Genomic DNA, 22,902 nt, shown 5'->3' with positions numbered 1-22,902 from the left:
CTTAAGGTCATAGGGACTTGCAAAGGAAGGGACAAGCAGAAGAATTCCTGAGTCCAACTGGAAAACGAGAAATCTAGGATCTGGATTCAAGCAAAGTAGTCAGCACTAGGGCAGTGTTATTAACAGAAAAAAACAGCACGTACATAAAGACAAGGTCAGCTCATAGAGGCAGCAGATGAAAGTACACAGGGAAACCTGAGGCTGCATTGCTCTACCTCCTGGAGCACCTGTGGCTGGAGCCACCTATCTTAACTAAAACACTGCCATGGCTGAATTTCTATCATGGGAACATAATTGCTTTGGGAAAGGTACTGTTGCCTGCCTGAGTACCCTTCTTAAAGCATATACATGCCGTATCTTCCATTTCAGCAAATGTGATTTTCCCTCTAATAAATGTATCAGGTTACTAAAATGGACACCAAGAAGGTGAAGAAGAGACCAGAAAGTCTAGGACATCATATAGAAAAAGCATGCTTGGGGCTGGGTGCGGTGCATGGTTCACACCTGTAAATTCAAATATTTTGGGAGGCCGAGGAGGGCAGATCACCTGAGGTCAAGAGCTTGAGACCAGCCTGACTAACATGGCAAAACCTCATCTCTACATAAAAATATAAAAATTAGCCGGGTCTGGTGGCAGGTGCCTGTAATCCCAGCTACTCAGGAGGCTTGAACCCAAGAATCGCTTGAATCGAGGAGATGGAGGTTGCAGTGAACCAATATTGCATCACTTTACTCCAGCATGGGTAACAGAGCAAGACTCCATTTCAAAAAATTAAAAAAGAAAAGAAAAAGCATGCTTGGGGTGACACAGGCCACCAGAGCCACATTTTGCTAAAGGTTGTTCATTCGAATGAATGTTCTTGAAAACAACACTGACATGAATGGAGATCCTTACTGCCCTTCTCTCACTGAATACAAGTTCATAGCTAACATTAAACCAGTTCTGTCATTCAGAACTCTGCTCAAATAGATCAGTGGTAACATTCAAATATCACAGGGTATCTCTGATTATGGGCCACACCCATTAGGTGGTTGCTCTACCTCCTGGTGTTTCTATGGTGATGAAGATAGCACACCTCCATTGTACTAATGAGACACCTGTAAGAGCAGTGGCCACTTGCTGTAGGTGAGCAGAGCTAGAGATATTTCTCTTAAATTATATATAAATCATTTTTATAAGAATGGAAAAGGACCTAATAAAAATGCAATGTTTTTCTTTAAGTGAAAAGTGCCCTTCAGTCCCACTCATATTCCTCAGAGGAAAAGCTTCAAAGCCATGGTCATCCCTAGTTAATCCCCAGAAGCTTTATCTCCACCAGGTGAGGAGACAGGAAGCCTGTTTCTGCCAATAGCTACTGAGAAACTTATCATCGCCTACTAATCCTGGAGGATCTCAACAAAATTACATTTTTAATCTGAGGGTTTTAAATGAGAATATAAATGAAAGTCACAGTTTCTTTGGATCCAGCATTCCAGAAGTCAAGTTTACATTTCCTTTTGAATTTTTAGGCCCTCTGAAATCCAGATACACTCCAGCACCTGCCCCAGTTACAGTCCAATTGGCAAAGCCTGCGTGGGACAAGCACCTCCTCTGTACTGGGTCCTGTGTTGCCAGCTACCACGCCTAACACTGCATCAGCTGCTTAACCAGTCTGTCAATCCGTCAGCTACTATTGATCTTGTCGGATAGGAGGTGATCAACAAAAATCCTTAGCTGCATGCCCACTCCCCAACTATTAATACTATAACAGCAACCCTTCATTATGTGTGCTAGCATTTCAGAAAGTGCTTTTTACATCAAAATTATGGGCAATTCTAGACCACTGTGGCCCAGAAGTGTCTGAAAACAATGGAGTCTGCAATCCCATTGAGCTCATCTCTGATCTCCAAACCCAGCTGTATCTGTTAAAGTTTCATTTTGCCAAGAATATAAACGGTATTAGAGAGCTTTGCAATCCTACCTCTCACGCAGAAAAAAAATAGCTATTTTCAGCTCTCCATCTCCTACGGAAGGCCCCCTGTGCCAGGATGTATGCATCTGTGAATACATGAGCATGTGCCCATTTTTTTAAAAACTGCAGTCTCTTGTCAAAATGAGGAATGTTTAAACATTCAGCTCTGTACAGCAATGAGAACAGCAGCTATATTTCTAGGATTGCACTGTCTTCAAAACCTATCTCAAAATCTTTCCAAAAGTCTCAGTTTTAATAAGATTATTGAGCCCTCCAGCTAATCTAAACACATCACAGTGTAAGCTGTTTCAGTCATCAGTGAGGAAATAGCCTGATGGAAACAAAAGAGAATCCTACCACTTAAATAACTGACAAAGACACAGCCCTCAAAAGAAGTTATAGAGCTTTTGTTCTAAGATGGAGGGAGGAGAGTAGCTTTTCTTTTGTCATTTCCAATTTGGTCAACCATAACCTATTACTTCCACTGCTTTTTTAAACTTCAGGAATTCTTATAAAATATCTACAAAGATACCCAAGAATGAATCTCTTGTCTTTACTGAGTCCTTTTAAATTAAAATGCAAGATGGCAGGAGAATCTATAGGCCAGAGAAGGAGCTGGCATGGGAGGTAGAAGGAGTGGGGAAGCTCATAAGATGGTCAGAAGAGAAGGAATTGATCAAATGCCCAAATTAAGCTGACCAGAAATCAGAAAGGACTTTAGTAGACTGGGGTGCATCAGGATTGCAGAGGTATGACCCTCCAGCAAGGTCAAATGGAAGGTACATCTGCCCCCCACCCCTTTGCAGCTTTGGAGGACTCAGAAGATCTTCCCCACACCCAGGCCTTGGCCGGTATCAGGTAGACATGTTTCCCAGTTAACTCACAACCCAACAGCCACATATCACTAGCAGAGTGTGATGTGCATCTCTCGATTTCTAGATGCAATTTTGTTTTATCCACAAGGTATTTCTTTAATTCTCCAGCAGTGCCTTTACTGAGTGAGATCTACTGGCAAGTCTTCTGTAGCTTTGGGGTAGCATTTGGGAAAGTAAAGCAATTGGATACTGTCCTTTTAAAATATCATTCAATTAGGTCTTTTGTAATACATACAACATAACGAGATAGCCTTACCAACTCTAAAGAAATTTCTAGTGCATTTCATCAAAGGCACAATAATGGAAACATCGATTCACTCCTCACCACAAACATCTCCCTTTGATGCTGCAGTTACCTTAATACTAGCACTTTTCATTTTCTCTAGAAGGAAACAGCTGCCTTCATGCATGCACATCAGAGAAGGCTCTAGTCTGAAATAACACATTTGTATATCAATCTCAACTACACTTGCATTTTCATTTGCTGCTGCACAGCATCACTCTCCTTGACTCTAAACTACTAAATTACCCCCAAAATAAAGAAAAACTCTTCTGCAACCTGGATGACTGGGGCTAGGTGTTTTATGCCATCTCTGCAAGTGTTGCCAGGGGCATCATCTGCTTTCACACATCATTTATTTAAAAGAAGAACGGCCAAGCACTGGTTAGAAACTTTATGGGCCTGAAGAACATTCAGCCACTTTACGCAAAAGATGTCAACAAGAAAGAGTACCTAAGGAATAATATATCTAGAAATGTGCAGTGTGATTAGAAAAATCCATCAACACCCACTGCCACATTTTCAAATATTTTTAGCAAGTGAAAGAGCAGCCACCAAGTCTGAAAGTATTTTGAATGCATTATATCCATAAGGGTACTTCATGAGCAATGCCCCAGATGTTCTCAGTGCTGTGGAGATGGAGGCAAAGGATACTCTTAGATACACAGGAGACATATTGCATTTGGTTTATCAACCTCTTGGTATGAGTAGTCTGTTGCCTCTAACCCAGCTTGCCTCTATAGAAATAAAAATAAGCTTTAAGAGGTCTGAGCTTCTTATAAATAAATTACCATCCAACCATTTAATGACATCTGAATAATTTACTTTTTTCAATACTGTTTCAAAATTTCTGGCTATACTAAGCCTCTAAAGTCACAGACTATCTGACATTTGGCTAAGTCTTTCATACAATATCCACTTGATGCCATGAAAGAAATATATTTGCAGTGGCTTTTCCTCTGCAAATGTCATGTGGGTGTCCTTAGGGGATGGCATTAAGCACCTGGCACCCACCATGAGGCTTGGTTAACGAGACATAGAAAGGTTATGTTGAAATTATTGTTTAAAGGTGCTGACATCACATGATCGCATGCACACACACACACACACAAACACAAATTCACAATCACATATTCAAATATACACTGAGGAGCAACTGTTTCAGTATTTAAGAGAGCAGAGTGAAGAAGCTATTTCAACCAAGGTTGTTCTGTGGATATCTCTATGTAAGACAGTGCTCAGAATTATCTGTTTCCTTTCACTGATTGATTCCACAACATTATTACATAATAGTTTGGCATCAAGCACTGTAGTACGATTCTGGAGATGTCAGGAAATACAAAGAGGAAATCATCTAAAATGTCTTTTCTTAAGTATAAGTTGATCAAATATAGAGAACTACAGAATTTAAGCATTCATCCACTAATTCATTCATCTAACGGATAGACACTGAGGACTGATTACAAGATAGAGCTTGTAATCTAGTGAGGAATGCAGATGACCCCAAAAATCAACACAAAATCTCATTTGTGACAAGTGTTCTGAATGAGGGATACATAGTGCTACGAAAAAGAACATCAAAAGGGATTTGATTTCATCAGGGAGTTTACGGAAGGTGTCCTGAGGAAGTGATGCTGGATCTGAGATCTGACGATGATGAGACTTACATTAAAGAAGAGAATTCCAGGCACAGGGAAGGGAGCAAGGGGCAGAGGTAGGGCAAGCAACTGAAAGATTCAAGGGGAAGTGATAACAGTGAACCAGGAGAGAGAAGGAGGGACCAGATCAGGCAGGGGCTGGTAATATCTACTGGGGACTGTGGTCTTTAGTTTGTGAACAAAGAGGAAATGTGAGAAGGGTTTAAGCAAAGGCACACAATCATTATATTTGGGAAATATTTTTTCAGGTTGTAGTATTAACATACTGGAAGAGACTCTAGCAATCGTTCAGATGACAAACAAAACTTATATTTGAGTAGTGGTGGTAACAGAAAGAAGAGGATGGAATCAAAAGATATTTAGAAGTGGTAACAGAAAGAAGTGGATGGAATAAAAAGGTATTAGATCCCATGATTGATCACAGATGGTGGGTTTAGAACAAGGAAATATTAAAGATACTCCCTAGGTTTCTAATTTTGCAATTAAATGGCTAGAGATAGGGAATACTGGAAGAGAGCCAGCTATGCTGGGGCGAGATCTCCAGTTCATTTCTAGAATACATTGAGTTGAGAGGTTTTGAGGCATACAAGAGACAGACAATGCTATGTATGCAGCTGAATATACGTATTTGGAGCTCAAGAAGGAGGTCTTATTGGGGTCACTAGATCTTTAATGTATTTTTAGAAAATAACAAAATGGACTTTGTTTGAAGCTTCCCTTCTATAACTCAACTAAGAGCAATGGTATATTCCAATGTCACCAAATCAAGGTGGCATAGTGTGATGGAATATGCCTCGAGGTGGAATCTGATAACATGTACTTAAGCCCTGGCTCCTAGCTTCTAGCTTGGAGGGTTTGAATAAGCCATAGCTTTTCTGTACTTTCGTTTACTATGTCACTATAAAATATTATGTATGTCCTACTTCTTTCACAGGGTTGTTTTGAATAAGGTCAAATGAGTAAAATTATAAAGAAAGTCATTTTAAAAATGTGAAATACGGTGACTCACGCCTGTAATCCCAGCACTTTGGGAGGCCGAGGCGGGCGGATCACGAGGTTAAGAGATCGAGACCATCCTGGCCAACTTGGTGAAACCCCGTCTCTACTAAAAATACAAAAATTAGCTGGGCATGGCGGTGGGCACCTGTAATCCGAGCCACTCAGGAGGCTGAGGCAGGAGAATCGCTTGAACCCAGGAGGCAGAGGTTACAGTGAGCCAAGATCGCGCCACTGCACTCCAGCCTGGTGAAAGAGCGAGACTCTGTGTCAAAAAAAAAAAAAAAAAAAAGAAAAGAAAAGGAAATAATAGCATTGTCAATAAGTGAAATATACCTGTCTACATATTTTGATACTTAAGAGCAGAAAGGAAAGTTAGTTGCTGCAGACAAAATCAATGATGAAATGATTTGGGTTGGAATGATGAAATGTCACTGAATTCCCTCCAAAATGTGGATTAAGCAAGCAAGTGATTTTCACATGGTGGTACCTGGATGACAAGAAGTAAATGAAAATAGTATTTATTCACCTTTTGATCCAAACTGTAGGCCAGCACCCAGTCCTCTTGCTTGGGATGAAAGAGCAGGCTCTGGATATAGAAGGTGAGCCGATACTTCTGATAGGTCGCCCCTTCGTCTGAGCTGATCAATATGCTGCTCTCCATCTCAGGATCACTGAGAAGCATAATCTAAAGAAAGGATAGAGGGACATATACAGACAGAGTTAGTAGGAAATAATAAATATAATAACTTTAATCATAAATAAGTCATCTGTATTTGTACACCATAGCACATAAAGGAGCATCTGGGCCTCTGTAAAAAATACTTGTATTAACTTTTCTCCTGATTTAGTCTCTCATTGTCGAATTGAGGTAAAAATAGGGGGCAAGGCTAGAAGCATATAGAAGAAGGTTTCATTTTTGATGTCCATCTTTTAAGCACCGGGAACTTTTTTTTTTTTATTATTATACTTCAAGTTTTAGGGTATATGTGCACAATGTGCAGGTTAGTTACATATATATACATGTGCCATGCTGGTGTGCTGCACCCATTAACTCGTCATTTAGCATTAGATATATCTCCTAATGCTATCCCTCCCACCTTCCCCCACCCCACAACAGTCCCCAGAGTGTGATGTTCCCCTTCCTGTGTCCATGCGATCTCATTGTTCAATTCCCACCTATGAGTGAGAATATGCGGTGTTTGGTTTTTTGTTCTTGCAATAGTTCACTGAGAATGATGATTTCCAATTTCATCCATGTCCCTACAAAGGACATGAACTCATCATTTTTCTGGCTGCATAGTATTCCATGGTGTATATGTGCCACATTTCTTAATCCAGTCTATCATTGTTGGACATTTGGGTTGGTTCCAAGTCTTTGCTATTGTGAATAGTGCTGCAATAAACATATGTGTGCATGTGTCTTTATAGCAGCATGATTTATAGTCCTTTGGGTATATACCCAGTAATGGGATGGCTGGGTCAAATGGTATTTCTAGTTCTAGATCCCTGAGGAATCGCCACACTGACTTCCACAATGGTTGAACTAGTTTACAGTCCCCCCAACAGTGTAAAAGTGTTCCTATTTCTCCACATCCTCTCCAGCACCTGTTGCTTCCTGACTTTTTAATGATTGCCATTCTAACTGGTGTGAGATGGTATCTCATTGTGGTTTTGATTTGCATTTCTCTGATGGCCAGTGATGGTGAGCATTTTTTCATGTGTTTTTTGGCTGCATAAATGTCTCCTTTTGAGAAGTGTCTATTCATGTCCTTTGCCCACTTTTTGATGGGGTTGTTTGCTTTTTTCTTGTAAATTTGTTTGAGTTCATTGTAGATTCTGGATATTAGCCCTTTGTCAGATGAGTAGGATGCGAAAATTTTCTCCCATTGTGTGGGTTGCCTGTTCACTCTGATGGTAGTTTCTTTCACTGTGCAGAAGCTCTTTAGTTTAATTAGATCCCATTTGTCAATTTTGGCTTTTGTTCCATTGCTTTTGGTGTTTTAGACATGAAGTCCTTGCCCATGCCTATGTCCTAAATGGTAATGCCTAGGTTTTCTTCTAGGGTTTTTATGGTTTTAGGTCTAATGTTTAAGTCTTTAATCCATCTTGAATTAATTTTTGTATAAGGTGTAAGGAAGGTATCCAGTTTCAGCTTTCTACATATGGCTAGCCGGTTTTCCCGGCACCATTTATTAAATAGGGAATCCTTTCCCCATTGCTGGTTTTTCTCAGGTTTGTCAAAAATCAGATAGTTGTAGATATGTGGCTTTATTTCTGAGGGCTCTGTTCTGTTCCATTGATCTATATCTCTGTTTTGGTACCAGTACCATGTTGTTTTGGTTACTGTAGCCTTGTAGTATAGTTTGAAGTCAGGTAACGTGATGCCTCCAGCTTTGTTCTTTTGGCTTAGGATTGACTTGGCGATGCGGGCTCTTTTTTGGCTCCATATGAACTTTAAAATAGTTTTTTCCAATTCTGTGAAGAAAGTCATTGGCAGCTTGATGGGGATGGCATTGACTCTATAAATTACCTTGGGCAGTATGGCCATTTTCATGATACTGATTCTTCCTACCCATGAGCATGGAATGTTCTTCCATTTCTTTGTATCCTCTTTTATTTCATTGAGCAGTGGTTTGTAGTTCTCCTTGAAGAGGTCCTTCACATCCCTTGTAAGTTGGATTCCTAGGTATTTTATTCTCTTTGAAGCAATTGTGAATGGGAGTTCACTCATGATTTGGCTCTCTGCTTGTCTGTTATTGGTGTATAAGAATGCTTGTGATTTCTGTACATTGATTTTGTATCCTGAGACTTTGCTGAAGTTGCTTATCAGCTTAAGGAGATTTTGGGCTGAGACAATGGGGTTTTCTAGATATACAATCATGTCATCTGCAAACAAGGACAATTTGACTTCCTCTTTTCCTAATTGAATACCCTTTATTTCCTTCTCCTAACAGGGGATCTCTCGGCAGAAACTCTACAAGTCAGAAGAGAGTGGGGGCCAATATTTGACATTCTTAAAGAAAAGAATTTTCAACCCAGATTTTCATATCCAGCCAAACTAAGCTTCATAAGTGAAGGAGAAATAAAATACTTTACAGACAAGCAAATGCTGAGAGATTTTGTCACCACCAGGACTGCCCTAAAAGAGCTCCTGAAGGAAGCACTAAACATGGAAAGGAACAACCGGTACCAGCCACTGCAAAATCAGGCCAAATTGTAAAGATCATCAAGGCTAGGAAGAAACTGCATCAACTAACAAGCAAAATAGCCAGCTAACATCATAATGACAGGATCAAATTCACACATCACAATATTAACTTTAAATGTAAATGGACTAAATGCTCCAATTAAAAGACACAGACTGGCAAATTGGATAAAGAGTCAAGACCCATCAGTATGCTGTATTCAAGAAACCCATCTCACGTGTAGAGACACACGTAGGCTCAAAATAAAAGGATGGAGGAAGATCTACCAAGCAAACGGAAAACAAAAAAAGGCAGGGGTTGCAATCCTAGTCTCTGATAAAACAGACTTCAAAACAACAAAGATCAAAAGATACAAAGAAGGCCATTACATAATGGTAAAGGGATCAATTAAACAAGAAGAGCTAACTATCCTAAATATACATGCACCCAATACAGGAGCACCCAGGTTCATAAAGCAAGTCCTGAGTGACCTACAAAGAGACTTAGACTCCCACACAATAATAATGGGAGACTTTAACACCCCACTGTCAACATTAGACAGATCAATGAGACAGAAAATTAACAAGTATACCCAGGAATTGAACTCAGCTCTGCACCAAGCAGACCTAATAGACATCTACAGAACTCTCCACCCCAAATCAAAAAATATACATTCTTTTCAGCACCACACCACACCTATTCCAAAATTGACCACATAGTGGGAAGTAAAACACTCCTCGGCAAATGTAAAAGAACAGAAATTATAACAAACTGTCTCTCAGACCACAGTGCAATCAAACTAGAACTCAGGATTAAGAATCTCACTCAAAACCGCTCAACTACATGGAAACTGAACAACCTGCTCCTGAATGACTACTGGGTACGTAATGAAATGAAGGCAGAAATAAAGATGTTCCTTGAAACCAACGAGAACAAAGACACAACATACCAGAATCTCTGGGACGCATTCAAAGCAGTGTGTAGAGGGAAATTTATAGCACTAAATGCCCACAAGAGAAAGCAGGAAAGATCCAAAATTGACACCCTAACATCACAATTAAAAGAACTAGAAAAGCAAGAGCAAACATATTCAAAAGCTAGCAGAAGGCAAGAAATAACTAAAATCAGAGCAGAACTGAAGGAAACAGAGACAGGAAAAACCCTTCAAAAAATTAATGAATCCAGGAGCTGTTTTTTTGAAAGGATCAACAAAATTGATAGACCGCTAGCAAGACTAATAAAGAAAAAAAGAGAGAAGAATCAAATAGACGCAATAAAAAATGATAAAGGGGATATCACCACCGATCCCACAGAAATACAAACTACCATCAGAGAATACTACAAACACCTCTACAGAAATAAACTAGAAAATCTAGAAGAAATGGATAAATTCCTCAACACATACACCCTCCCAAGACTAAACCAGGAAGAAGTTGACTCTCTGAATAGACCAATAACAGGAGCTGAAATTGTGGCAATAATCAATAGCTTACCAACCAAAAAGAGTCCAGGACCAGATGGATTCACAGCCGAATTCTACCAGAGGTACAAGGAGGAACTGGTACCATTCCTTCTGAAACTATTCCAATCAATAGAAAAAGAGGGAATCCTCCCTAACTCATTTTATGAGGCCAGCATCATCCTCATACCAAAGCTGGGCAGAGACACAACCAAAAAAGAGAATTTTAGACCAATATCCTTGATGAACATTGATGCAAAAATCCTCAATAAAATACTGGCAAAACGAATCCAGCAGCACATCAAAAAGCTTATCCACCATGATCAAGTGGGCTTCATCCCTGGAATGCAAGGCTGGTTCAATATACGCAAATCAATAAATATAATCCAGCATATAAACAGAACCAAAGACAAAAACCACATGATTATCTCAATAGATGCAGAAAAGGCCTTTGACAAAATTCAACAACCCTTCATGCTAAAAACTCTCAAGAAATTAGGTATTGATGGGACATATCTCAAAATAATAAGAGCTATCTATGACAAACCCACAGCCAATATCATACTGAATGGGCAAAAACTGGAAGCATTCCCTTTGAAAACTGGCACAAGACAGGGATGCCCTCTCTCAACACTCCTATTCAACATAGTGTTGGAAGTTCCGGGAACATTTTTTGTGGTCTTCTGTCTCCTGTCCTTGGGACAGTCATCTCTCTCTCTCTGTCTCTCTCTCTCTCTCTTTCTCTCTCTCTCCCCCATCCCATTCTCCATGCCACTGTTAATCACAGCATTTTTCCTATATTGTTCTTTAGTTGTGAGAAGCTCCCTCCCCCACTGCCATGCTGCCATGATCCCATTGTTTGTTTTGTTCTTTCTGAATTGTTTTATGCATTTAATTAAGTGGTTTTATGATTCCTTTGTTAGAGATATTTTCCAAAACATATAGCCCCAAAGGTCCTTGAGCAAATATTTCTCCCACAGAAGGTTTATCATCTTCCAGTCAAGTGGACAGAAATATTGTAATGAAAAGTCTTTGGCATCAGAGAGACCAGGTTCAAATCTCAACAGTTCTCTGTTAATATTGTATCATCTTGAGAAAGTTACCTAACCTCAGCTTCCTCAATAATAACCTGACTCTGATAATATCCAAACTGGCTTTGAGCACAGGGCATAATGTATGTTCTTTTTTTGTTGTTTTTTAGTAGAGATGGGGTTTTGCCACGTTGGCCAGGCTGGTCTCGAACTCCTGGCCTCAAGTGATCTGCCTGCCTCCACTTCCCAACATAATGTACATTCTTAACAGTCATAGCTATTATTACTAGTAAACTGCCCCTCCAGCCAGTGCAATCTGACTTCTGCCCCTAGTGCCACAATTACATTGATCTCTCTAAAGATAGACAAACTTTTTAGTATTTAAACCAATAAACGCTTAGACACTCAGACTTTTCCATTATTTAAACTCATAGCAGCCTTTGATACCACAACAATTCCGTCTATTTTGAAACATTCTCTTCCAGGGGCTTCCATAACACCATGTTCATCTATTTTTCCTTTTCATTTCATTTCATTTGGATACTCAATTTTCTCTTATTATCCCTTAACTGTGACCACTCCTTAACCCTCCATTTTGACTTTCTTCTTTTGCACTCAATATACTATTACTCAGTGACATCTTCCATTCCTGATTCTTTTCCTTTTCCTTTTGAAAATCATCACCGCCTTGGGAAAACTCCTAAATCTCTGAGTCTCAGTCACAGATTTGGAAGCTGAGCTGCCTGGAAGATGCTTCTATTTAGATGCCCCACAAGCACCTTGAGCTCCAGATGCCCCACAGTGGTACCTGATTCCAGCCCTACTGCTTCTCTGGTATACCCTAGCTCCATGAGCGTTTCCACCAACATCCATGTTTAGCAAAAAGCCCAAGATGCATCCTTGACTCTGCTTTCTCACCTTCTGAAAGAATAAGTCCGTGAGGACAGTGTATTTTACTTTTCAATTAACTCTTAACACAAAATCCATTATCTCCCTACCTATTGCGATTGTCTTAGTCCAAAACATGCAAATCTCTCTCCTGGATTACTGTAAGACAACTCTAGCCAGTCTTACCATGTTAGCCTTGTCCCTTCCAATCCATGTTTCACACCGTGGCCAGAACAATCAACCTGTAATATAAATCTGATTCTGACATTCTCTCACTTAAAACCATTCCATGGCATAATCAACGTTCCTATATTCCAAAATCCTTAAAACATCTTAGCAAAAGCTGCACCCCTGTTTATGTCTCTGGCTTCGTCAGAAGCACAACTTTTTTGGAATTTATTATCCAGCTCAACTCAACTTCTCTGAGTTCCTAAATAAGCAAGTGAATTTATTTCCTCTTAGAGTTTTTCTTATCTTTGCATATGTTGCCACCAATTTTCTATCATGCAGTCTAAACCATAAGGCCCAGAGTATAAAATATAGCCCCCTAAATTTCCATACCTTATAAAATAAAAGTGTTAACTAGCAGGATTTTTTCAATGTTACCCAGAGCATATATTAGTATTATAAAATAAGCTTTAAAACAAATTTAGGTCTTTTAAGTGCTAAAATTCACAGTCCTTTCCCTCTTTTATTCCTTTACAGCTTCTAAGACAAGCTTACTTTCTTTTCTCAAATATTTGCTTTGGCTTCATTGAAATAAGTCATCACTAGTTATCAGCAAATTTTTAAGAAATGGAGCAGTATAATGACTTTTTTTCACTCATGTGTGAATAATGCAGGGAAATACTCTTAGAGTAATCATAGACCAAATAACTTCCTCTTCCCATGGCACTATGAAGGGGTAGGGGTAGGGGAAACGGGTCAAAGCACTCAAGCTGCCCTTGAGAAAACCTGAGGAAGCATCTGTGGTGCTCGCAGAGTTTGAAAGGACGAATATAATGGGTAAGAAGGAGGCTTTTTGGCTTATGCCTGTAATCCCAGCTCTTTGGGAGGCCGAGGCGGGTGAATCACTTCAGGTCAGGAGTTCAAGACCAGCTTGGCCAACATTGTGAAACCCCATCTCTACCAAAAATACAAAAATTAGCTGGGCGTGGAGGTACACACCTGTAATCCCCGCTACTCAGGAGGCTGAGGCATGAGAATCACTTGAACCCTAGAGGTGGAGGTTGCAGTGAGCCAAGATCACGCCACTGCACTCCAGCCTGGGTGGCAGGCAGAGTGAGACTCTGTCTCAAAACAAAAAAAGAAAAAAAAGCTTTCATAACCAGCCTCACTTGCTCCATATCATGTACCAATGGTCTACAGAACAGGCAATGAAGTCATTTTTCCCCTGGTGCAGAAAAATTAAACTGCTTATTTTATGCAGGTATAAAAAAGCTTCATGCCCATGATTTTAATTAGAAGATAAGACCAACACCATAAATGAACTTTATTTTATATACCGTGAGTTACAATATACTAAATAAGGGTTACCATTGAATATCTTGTGCAATGTATTTTCTTCCCCTAGCTCTGTTTCTTTCTGTGCACACATGCACAGAGACACACACAAGCCCACTTGCATACCCAAATGCACATTAATCCACACACAACACATACGTGTGAGCACACATACACTAACATATACAGAGATGCTGCATTTATGTGCACACACACATAAAGAAATTTATATATAATAAAGCATATTGACATTGAGTGGCAGTTTTATGGAGCTTTTGTTGGTGAGAGTACATTTTTATTACTACCTTTCTCTGACATTCTCATCAGAAATTATTTGATATACTTTGATATCACTGGTAGTGTCTCTATTCAATTCAACTTTTTGAGAAGAATGAAAGGAAGGGAGATAGATACTGACATATTCTGGATTTCTAACCTATGCTGGGCATTTTACCTGATTTTTTATTAAAATCTCATACAAATCATGTGATATAGGTATCATGAGTTATATTTTACAGATAAGGAAACTGAGGCTCAGGAGAAAAGCAACTTGCCTATTACTCCTCTAATTGCCTCAAAACCCACACCTTCCATGCTCTGTACGCGCGCGCGCACACACACACACACACACACACACACACACACACACAATCCTTTTTGAAAGCATCTCTGAGAAACCCGCCCAAAATGCAGCTTCACTCATCTCAATTTCTGACCACAGGAGCATCAAGCATTAAGAGAGTAGGAATCTAAGAGGAAGATATAGGTTAGTTGTAGGTGCTCAAAAATAAAAAAGGAGGAGGCCATATTATTTATATAATCAGAGAGCAAATATTTTGTCAGAAGTTAAGCCTCAAGGTAAAATACGTGTATTGTATATTCACGTACCAAATCTATAAAGAAAATCATCCCATGTCCACCCAAATTTTTCTTGTTACACATGGATTTCAAATCCCAATGCCTGTGAGGGCAAAGCAGGTAAAGTGAGCAAGTGAAGCAGACAAGCCAAGACAGGGACTGGTGAGGACTGTGTCAAATCGGAAAGTACACATCATTCCCTCAAAATATTTAAAATTGGGTTTTTAAAAAACATTGTGCCCAAATTAAATATATCTGTGGACTGAATTTATGGATGAGACATGTGACTCTCGCTAAAGCTGTGATAGCATGTTTCTACAAAAACAAAGACATTCACAAGCTTACCTTTCAATGTATAATTATAGGTATCTAGTGTATAATTTGTGGCAATGGCTGTTTAGATATCATGAGTTCTGCATTTATGTGATTTTGGCAATACGAACAGGACAGAGATCCCACTAGAGATTTTAATTTTGTTTTGTTCATCATTCTGCTTTGATTCTTTATAAAGCAGTTTGTCCTGACATGAGAACTGCAGTGGGTATACGTGTGCTGGAAGGGGAAGAGGGGTTTTTCAAATATGGTTTCGCAGATTGTTAAGGTTATAGGCTCTCAATGCAGATGTCTTTAGGCCAGGCTCCTCAGACTGATATTTCATGTGTAAACAGAAAGTTGCTCAAGGCCGGGCGCGGTGGCTCATGCCTGTAACCCCAGTACTTTGGGAGGCCCAGGCGGGTAGATCACCTGAGGTCAGGAGTTCGAGACCAGCCTGACCAATATGATGAAACCCTGTCTCTACTAAAAATACAAAAATTAGCCGGGTGTGGTGGCATGTGCCTGTAATCCCAGCTATTCAGGAGGCTGAGACAGGAGAATTGCTTGAACCTGGGAGGCAGAGGTTGCAGTGAGCCGAGATTGCACCATTACACTCCAGCTTGGGCAACAAGAGTGAAACTCCGTCGCAATTATCCCAAGTCTGTTATCTCATCTAGAGAAAAAAGGAGATAGTAATTGTACCTACCTCTTAGTACTATTGAAAGGATTAAATGAGATAATGATTAAAGGGGCTTAGCACACTACCAGGCACATAAGTACTAAATAAATGTTAACCTTTAGCTTTAAATTACCCAGGATAAGGCCAGGTATGGTGGCTCACACTAGTAATCCCAGCATTTTGGGAGCCTGAGGTGGGCAGATTGTTTGAGCTCAGGAGTTCAGAACCAGCCTAGGCAATTTGGTGAAACCTCAACTCTATCAAAAAAAAAAAAAATTAGTCTGGTGTGGTGGCGTGCACTTATGGCCCCAGCTACTCAGGAGGCTGAGGTGGGAGGATGGCTTGAGCCCGGGCAGTGGAGATCACACCACTACACTCCAGCCTGGGCAACAGAGCCAGACCCCATCCCCCCAACCAAAAAATAAATTATCTAGGATAAGAGCACAACTGAAGTCAGAAGTGATGCCAAGCAGGTTGGAGACAAATAGAGGTGATGTGGGGATTATTTGCCTCCCTCTTGACTCCCATTATTCCTGAACTTTGTGGAGAAAATTGCAAGAGGTGGGCATAAAGGGGACTGAGGAGTTGCTGTTCAATGGTTATAAAATTTCAGTCACACAAGATGAAATAATTCTAGAGATATGCTGTACAATGTGCATATAGTTAACACTCTATTGTACATGTGGAAGTGGGTTAAGAGGGTAAATCTCATGTTGTCTGTACGTGTGTTTGTTTGCCATAATTTAAAACACAGGAAAGTGTCAGGGAGAAAAACATCATATTTTAGTGTTTTATATATTACATTCACTTTACATGCATTTTGCATTTCTGGTAATATTTTAAGAAAACACACCCTATTAACCAACATGAATACGGCCAGAGTAAACACCAATTGGTAGATAATTGTCAATTTGCTAAACACAATTGCTGCTTTGAATGAACACTCTCATCTCTTCATTGGATGACTATACCCCATGAGGAAACTAAACATGCCACTGCCTTAGGGTGAGAACTGCATACAATCAAGTTCCTGTGATTTAGCCATTCACTGTAAATGAATTGTCTGTGTCCAAGATTAGAGTTGGTAATCTTTAGAGATTACCAACATACAAATGGTGCAGTATCTTTTGAAAAAAAAAAAAAAACTTGTAATGCTTTCTGAAGGAAATTCCTGAGAATGTTGAATAATATTGGTTTTAATTTTAATGGTATATTGCAAATTGCAAAGGACACTCAGGGAAGTCAGGAGTCAGGCAGGGGCTATGCTTAGTCAGCTTATACTCTCAAAAGCCTGTCAGCTTATCTATGTCTAAACCAGTCAACATTAGTATTGGAGATGTCAAAATCCTCCCCAGAAATCTTTCCACAATGCACCCTTTCTTGCTGCTGAGTGAGTCTTACAATATCATTGATGAATATGTCACTTTATTCAGTTGCCTATTCTATTTCCTTTGTGCAGTCTATTAAAATCAAGTGAAAGCTAAACGTTTCTCAGTCTCTCTCTCACTCTGCCAGAGATCCAGAAAGTCAAGGAAAACACTCTAGTTCAATGTTTTGGGCACGTTCTCAGAATAGGAGCAAACAGACTTTTCTCTAAATATAAAAAAAGAAAGGCTATAATTTATTGTATAATTGAGTCCTAATGGTAGACTTTTAGCAAAGTTAGTGTTCAATAAGAAATAACAATAACATCAATATGAGCTCTTAGAGTATAAAACAATGACAGCATAGCTATCCGCTAAACCCACTGATATAATTGATAAGTTGTTGAATATTGACTTCCATACAAACAGAGCCTACTGTAGATACGGCTTTTACTCACAATATACCAGCATTCATTCTTCGAACAGTGGTTCTCAACTGAGGAGAAAGAAGGGGTCATGCCAAGGGGACATTTTGAAACATATGGAGATATGTTAATTATCACAGCTGGGGGCAGGGGAGAGAGTTCCGGTATCTAGTGGGCAGAGGCGAGGGATGCTGTAAAACATGTGACAAAACACAGGACAGTGACTCACAACAAAGAATTATCCAGCACAAAATGTCAATGATGCTGCAGTTGGGATTATTACAAGTAAAATATGTAAACTACATATAAATGTCACGGAACACCAATATGCATGTATGCTTATACATATCCTGTCTCACCTATGGCCACAATGCATGCCATTCTCTTTGCCAAAATTAGACTCCCCACCTTTCCACCCTAATCCATTATATTAAGCTTATTTACACTTGTTCCTCAGGATTTAACATAAGCACACCAACAAAACTGCAGTCATTTAGGCTATTCAAGAAAAAAAATTAAAGTACAAAAATAACAAGAAAACAATCCTATTTAAAAAATGGGCAAAGGACTTGAATAGACATTTCTCCAGAGCTATACAAATGACCAGTGAGCAAATAAAAAGATGTTCAAAATCACTAATCATTAAAGAAATGCAAATCAAAACCACAATGAGATACAACCTCACACCCATGGCTACTGTTTAAAAATAAAAAATAAAAAATCAGAAAATAACAAGTGTTGGCAGGGATGTGAAAAGTTGGAACCCTTGTGAACTGTTGGTGGGAACAAAAAATGGTGCAGCCACTACAGAAAACAGTATGGTGGTTCAACAAATAATTAAAAATAGAATTATCATATGATCCAGCTATTCCACGTCTGGGTAATACCCAAAAGTGAAAGTGTCCAGCTGTGTCAATTGCAATTGATGGTCAAGAAAGATGAGTACCAAGAACTGACCATTGAATGTAGCATTGTGGAGGGTATTGGTGACCATGGCCAAGACAGTGGAGTGAAGCAGGCAGACAGTCAGTGTTGATGCAAGTATAAATTGGCGTGACTATTCTAAAATGCAATGTGGCAACATGAAACAAGACTCTTGCAATTGAAAGCAAGGTCTCAAAGAGAGATACGTTCACCCAGTGCTCATAGCAGCATTATTTACAATAGCCAAAAGGTGAAAGCAACCCAAGTGTCTATCAATGAATGAATGGATAAACAAAATGTGGTATACACTACAATGGAATATTATTCCGCCTTAGGAAGGAAGGAAATTCTGACACATGCTACATGGATGAACCTTGAAGACATTATGCAAAGTGAAATATGCCAGTCATAAAGAAAAAAATACTATATGATTGCACTTATATGGGGTACTTAAGGTAGTCAAAATCATAATGACAAAATGTAGAATGGTAGATACTAAGGCTAGGCGGAGAGAGAAATGAGGAGTTGTTGTTTAGTTGGTATAGAGTTTTAGTTTTGCAAGATGAAAAGAAATTTGGAGATTGGTCGTAAAACAATGTGTACTTAACACTACTAAACTGTACACTTAAAAATGGGAAGACGGCAAATTGCATATTATTTGTATATCCCTACAATTTTTTAAAGTAAAAAATAAATATAAAAATAAGACACGAGACTAGAGATAAAGTAACAGGCTAATGAACACTTTAATCAAACAAACACATACACACCATTTATTCATCCAACCTATTGACTGAGGCCTTACTCCATGCCAGGCTCTATTCTAAGGACCTAGATCAGAGCAGTAATCAAATCAGAATGAAAATACTTTCCCTCATAGAGCTTACATTCTGTTGAAGGAAGAATAAACAACAGATAGACAAATAAGTAAAACATGTGGCATATCAGATGGTGATAAGGCCTTTAGAGTGAAAGAAAGCAGAAAAGGTAAGGGGAGGTGCTGAAAGAGAAGCTGTGTAGTTTTAAATCATGTGGTCAGGAAAGGCCTCATTGGGAAAGTAGCATTTGCAAAAGGATGTAGGAGCCCAGTAGGCTGGAACAGAATGAACAACGTAGAGTGTTGGAAATGAGGTCAGCAAGGAAACGCAGACCCAGGCATTGATATAAGGACTCTGGCTTTATCACAAGTTACATAGAAAGCATATGATACACATACAATGAGCATGGCTGTGATAGTCTAGGGCTTGTTTTTTAATCCTCTCACTCTGGCTACCATGTCGAATAGAGCATTGGAGGATGTGGGGAAAAAAATCAAAGAGACCAGGGAGAGGTTCTGTAATGATCAGAAGGGACAGATGAATGGCCTGCACCAAGCTGGAGCACTGAGGTGCTGAGAGGTGGTCAGTTTCTGGGTGTATTTTTGGAAGAAAAGTTAAAAAGGTCTGCTTACAGATTAGATGTAGAGTGTCAGAGAAAGTGAGGTGACCCCTTAAAAGATTTTTAAACTGTACATTCATCTCAATGTTTCTAATAATTACAAATTGGAACTAACTCAAATTATCTGATAGATTTGGGGCCTGAACAACTGGGAAAGTGGAATTAACACTTATGGATAGAAAAACAGGTTCAGGGCTTTAAAAATAAAGAATTTGGTTTTGAAATGCTTAATACACATCCAAACAGAGACGTTAAGTAGAAGAGCAATGTACAAGGTTTATACTCCGGGGAGAGGGCTGGCCTGCAGATAAGAATCTAGGAGACATCAGAGTCTGAATAACACTTAAAGACATGAATCTGGAGATAACCATGACAGCAAATACAGATAAAAGAGAGTCTGGAGAACTGAGCTCTATAGTATGTTTAGGGTCAAAAAGATAGGGACAGACCAGGAAAGGAGCCTGAGAGGGAGAAGGAAAACTCAGAGAGTGAGATACTCTTAAAATCAAGGAAAGAAAGTATATTAGGGAAGAGTGTCCAGCTGTGTCAAATGCAACTGATGGTCAGGTATAAAGAGTACTGAGAATTGGCTACTGAATGTAGCAACAGGGAGGGTATTGGTGACCATGGCAAAGCCAGTGGAGTGAGCTAGGCAGACTGTCAATGTTGATGCAAGCATAAATTGCCATGACCACTCTGAAAACCAATGTGGCAATATGGAACGAGACTCTTATAAATATTCATAACTTTAACCCTGTAAATTGTCTTCTAGCAAACTATCTAAGGAAACCATCAGAAACCCAATAAAAGGTTTATGCACCTGTAGGTTCAATGCAATGTTTTTATAATAATACAAAATTAGAAATAATGACTATATTTGATAGGATAATGACTAAAGTGAGCTAAAGCCATTCAATGGAATATTATGCAGCCATTAAAATGAATTCAAATACTTTTATGACATATGAAAAACAACCATATATTTAAACAGTGCATGAAATGCAGGCTGGACACACATGAAGCATCATCTCAATTTTGTTAAACATTGCTTATATTTCTTGTCTGTACTTATCCATAGTAGATAACTTGAAACAAACATTCACGTTAACAGTGGTTATTCCTAAGTGGCAAGATTATGAGTATTTTTTATTTTCTTCTCTATACTTTTCTATTTTCCCCAAATTTTCGGCAGTGAGCACACATTTCCTTTACAATCATAAAACATTATCTGTCTACACACACACATATACACATACATATACCTTCTTGATAAAACATGCTACGCATTGCCTGCTCTTGGAAAATTTGAAAAGCTAGTAAATTTCTATCCACATGGTGAGCACAACTCGTGGTGCAGGACAGGTGTGTCATGAGGGTGGGGTAGTGAAGAAGACTCAGTGTGGACAGGAAAAACAGCATCTCCCAATTCAGGGAGTGGTGTTACTGACCTCCCCTATGGAGTAAGAATCTGCTGCCCCAAACTATCCCACACACCATACACTGAATGGATTTCCCCCAGCCCAGCTCTGATATGGAATCTCCCCTCCACAAGAAACACCAATACTCTCTACATGTCTTTAAAAACATACCCAGCATCTCAGGCATTTAGTGGGCTCCCATGCTGTTTTCAGGCTTGACCTCTTCAACATAACCACTTGCTCAAGCCAAGCTGTGCCTCAGAGTTTTTTCAAATCACTGTGCTTACTGCAACATTCCTATCTTTGCCCATGCCACTCCCCTACCTAGAAAGCCCAGCATCCTCCCTGCCTTCCTTCAAGTCCCATTTTAACTCAATCCCTTCCATGAAGCCTCCTGAGTGCTCCAGCTGAATGATCTCGGTCTTCCAAGAACTCCATCAGCAAATTCATAATCACATTGAACTGCGATTTTATGTTTAAATATATTTGAAATTTATAAATATATTAATATATTTTAAAATATTGGTTATTTTACGTTTTACTTGTATTTACCTCACTTTGCCACCTTGATATTATGTTCCTTAAAGGCAGGGAGCTTTGGTTAAACAATGTTCTCTGGTCTTCTTTGCTGCACTGCCTGAAGAACGTGCTCAATAAATCAATAAATCATGTGATGCATGACTGAGTGAAGGTCACTCAAAGGTTTCTCAGTTTGCTTGACCAAATATTCAGTTCATTGTATTTGGGGTTCATCAGTGCCCTACTAGACAGAGAAGCTAGCTTCATCTCAATAAGGGCAGTCAGCAAAACCTTTACCTGAGGCACTGTCCCTCTGCCAGCCAAGGCATTACCAGTTGCATATGCAGTAATTGGCATTCAGGTCAGTATTCCTCTGCTACTTCATATTATTCTTTTGTAGAAGTTGGATATAGACAAATTTAACAAATTGGTGGCCACATTATTTTTTAACCAGATATTTATTTCCAGTAATTTTAAAAAGCAAATCTAACACCAGGAGAGAAGTATAAAGAAGTTTCATAATTCAAAAAAATGCAGGATACAGGATTGGTCTTGAAGTCATTTTGCTTATTTTTGATGTTTTGATTTGGGGCTTTTCTTTGTTTCTTTTCTCCACATTAGGATCATTAAAGGAAGATGTAAACCCAGACATGGATTTCTACGATCAGATGGACTAAGGCGCAGGTTAAATAGGATGAAGACATGTGAGTTGGCACAATGTTGTCACAGGCATAGATACATAACCAGGTGTGTTTGGTTTTCAGAAATATCTAACGAGTTAAATCAAGATCATCCAAGGCGTTTGTTGCTTCAAGCATCCAAGTTGCTACTGTGCACATCTGGGACCACAGTGGGACCCCAGAATTAAGAATCACTGTTCCAAAGCCTAAAATCACAAAGGCAATGACTATATGAAAAGATAAAGCAAAAAATGCCCACCAACATGCCTATTATCTACCACAAAACAAACCTAATTTATAAGCATCTTGTTGAAGCTGCGTAGGAGGAAAAGCCTGAAAAAATTCAAGTGCACAAGAGATGGTAAATGGAAATTAATTGCACAGCATCCATTATGGCTAATTTAAGAACTGCAGATTGTCACTAATACTTATTATTTATTGTATTATCTTTAG

General features: G+C 39.2%; 1 protein-coding gene across 1 annotated transcript in view; it reads right to left on the bottom strand.

The window, feature by feature from the left end:
- SORCS3 (sortilin related VPS10 domain containing receptor 3) overlaps positions 1-22,902 on the bottom strand; it is a 623,953-nt gene that overhangs the window by 281,459 nt on the left and 319,592 nt on the right. The window contains exon 4 of the mRNA NM_014978.3: positions 6,291-6,449. Within this exon, the coding sequence (NP_055793.1) occupies positions 6,291-6,449 (159 nt within the window). The remainder of the gene's footprint in view (positions 1-6,290; positions 6,450-22,902) is intronic.

Source organism: Homo sapiens, chromosome 10, assembly GCF_000001405.40.
Source record: "Homo sapiens chromosome 10, GRCh38.p14 Primary Assembly".
NCBI classification, from domain to species: Eukaryota; Metazoa; Chordata; class Mammalia; order Primates; family Hominidae; genus Homo; species Homo sapiens.
Note: the sequence above shows the minus strand (reverse complement) of the source record. Positions and strands in the feature narration are given on the sequence as shown.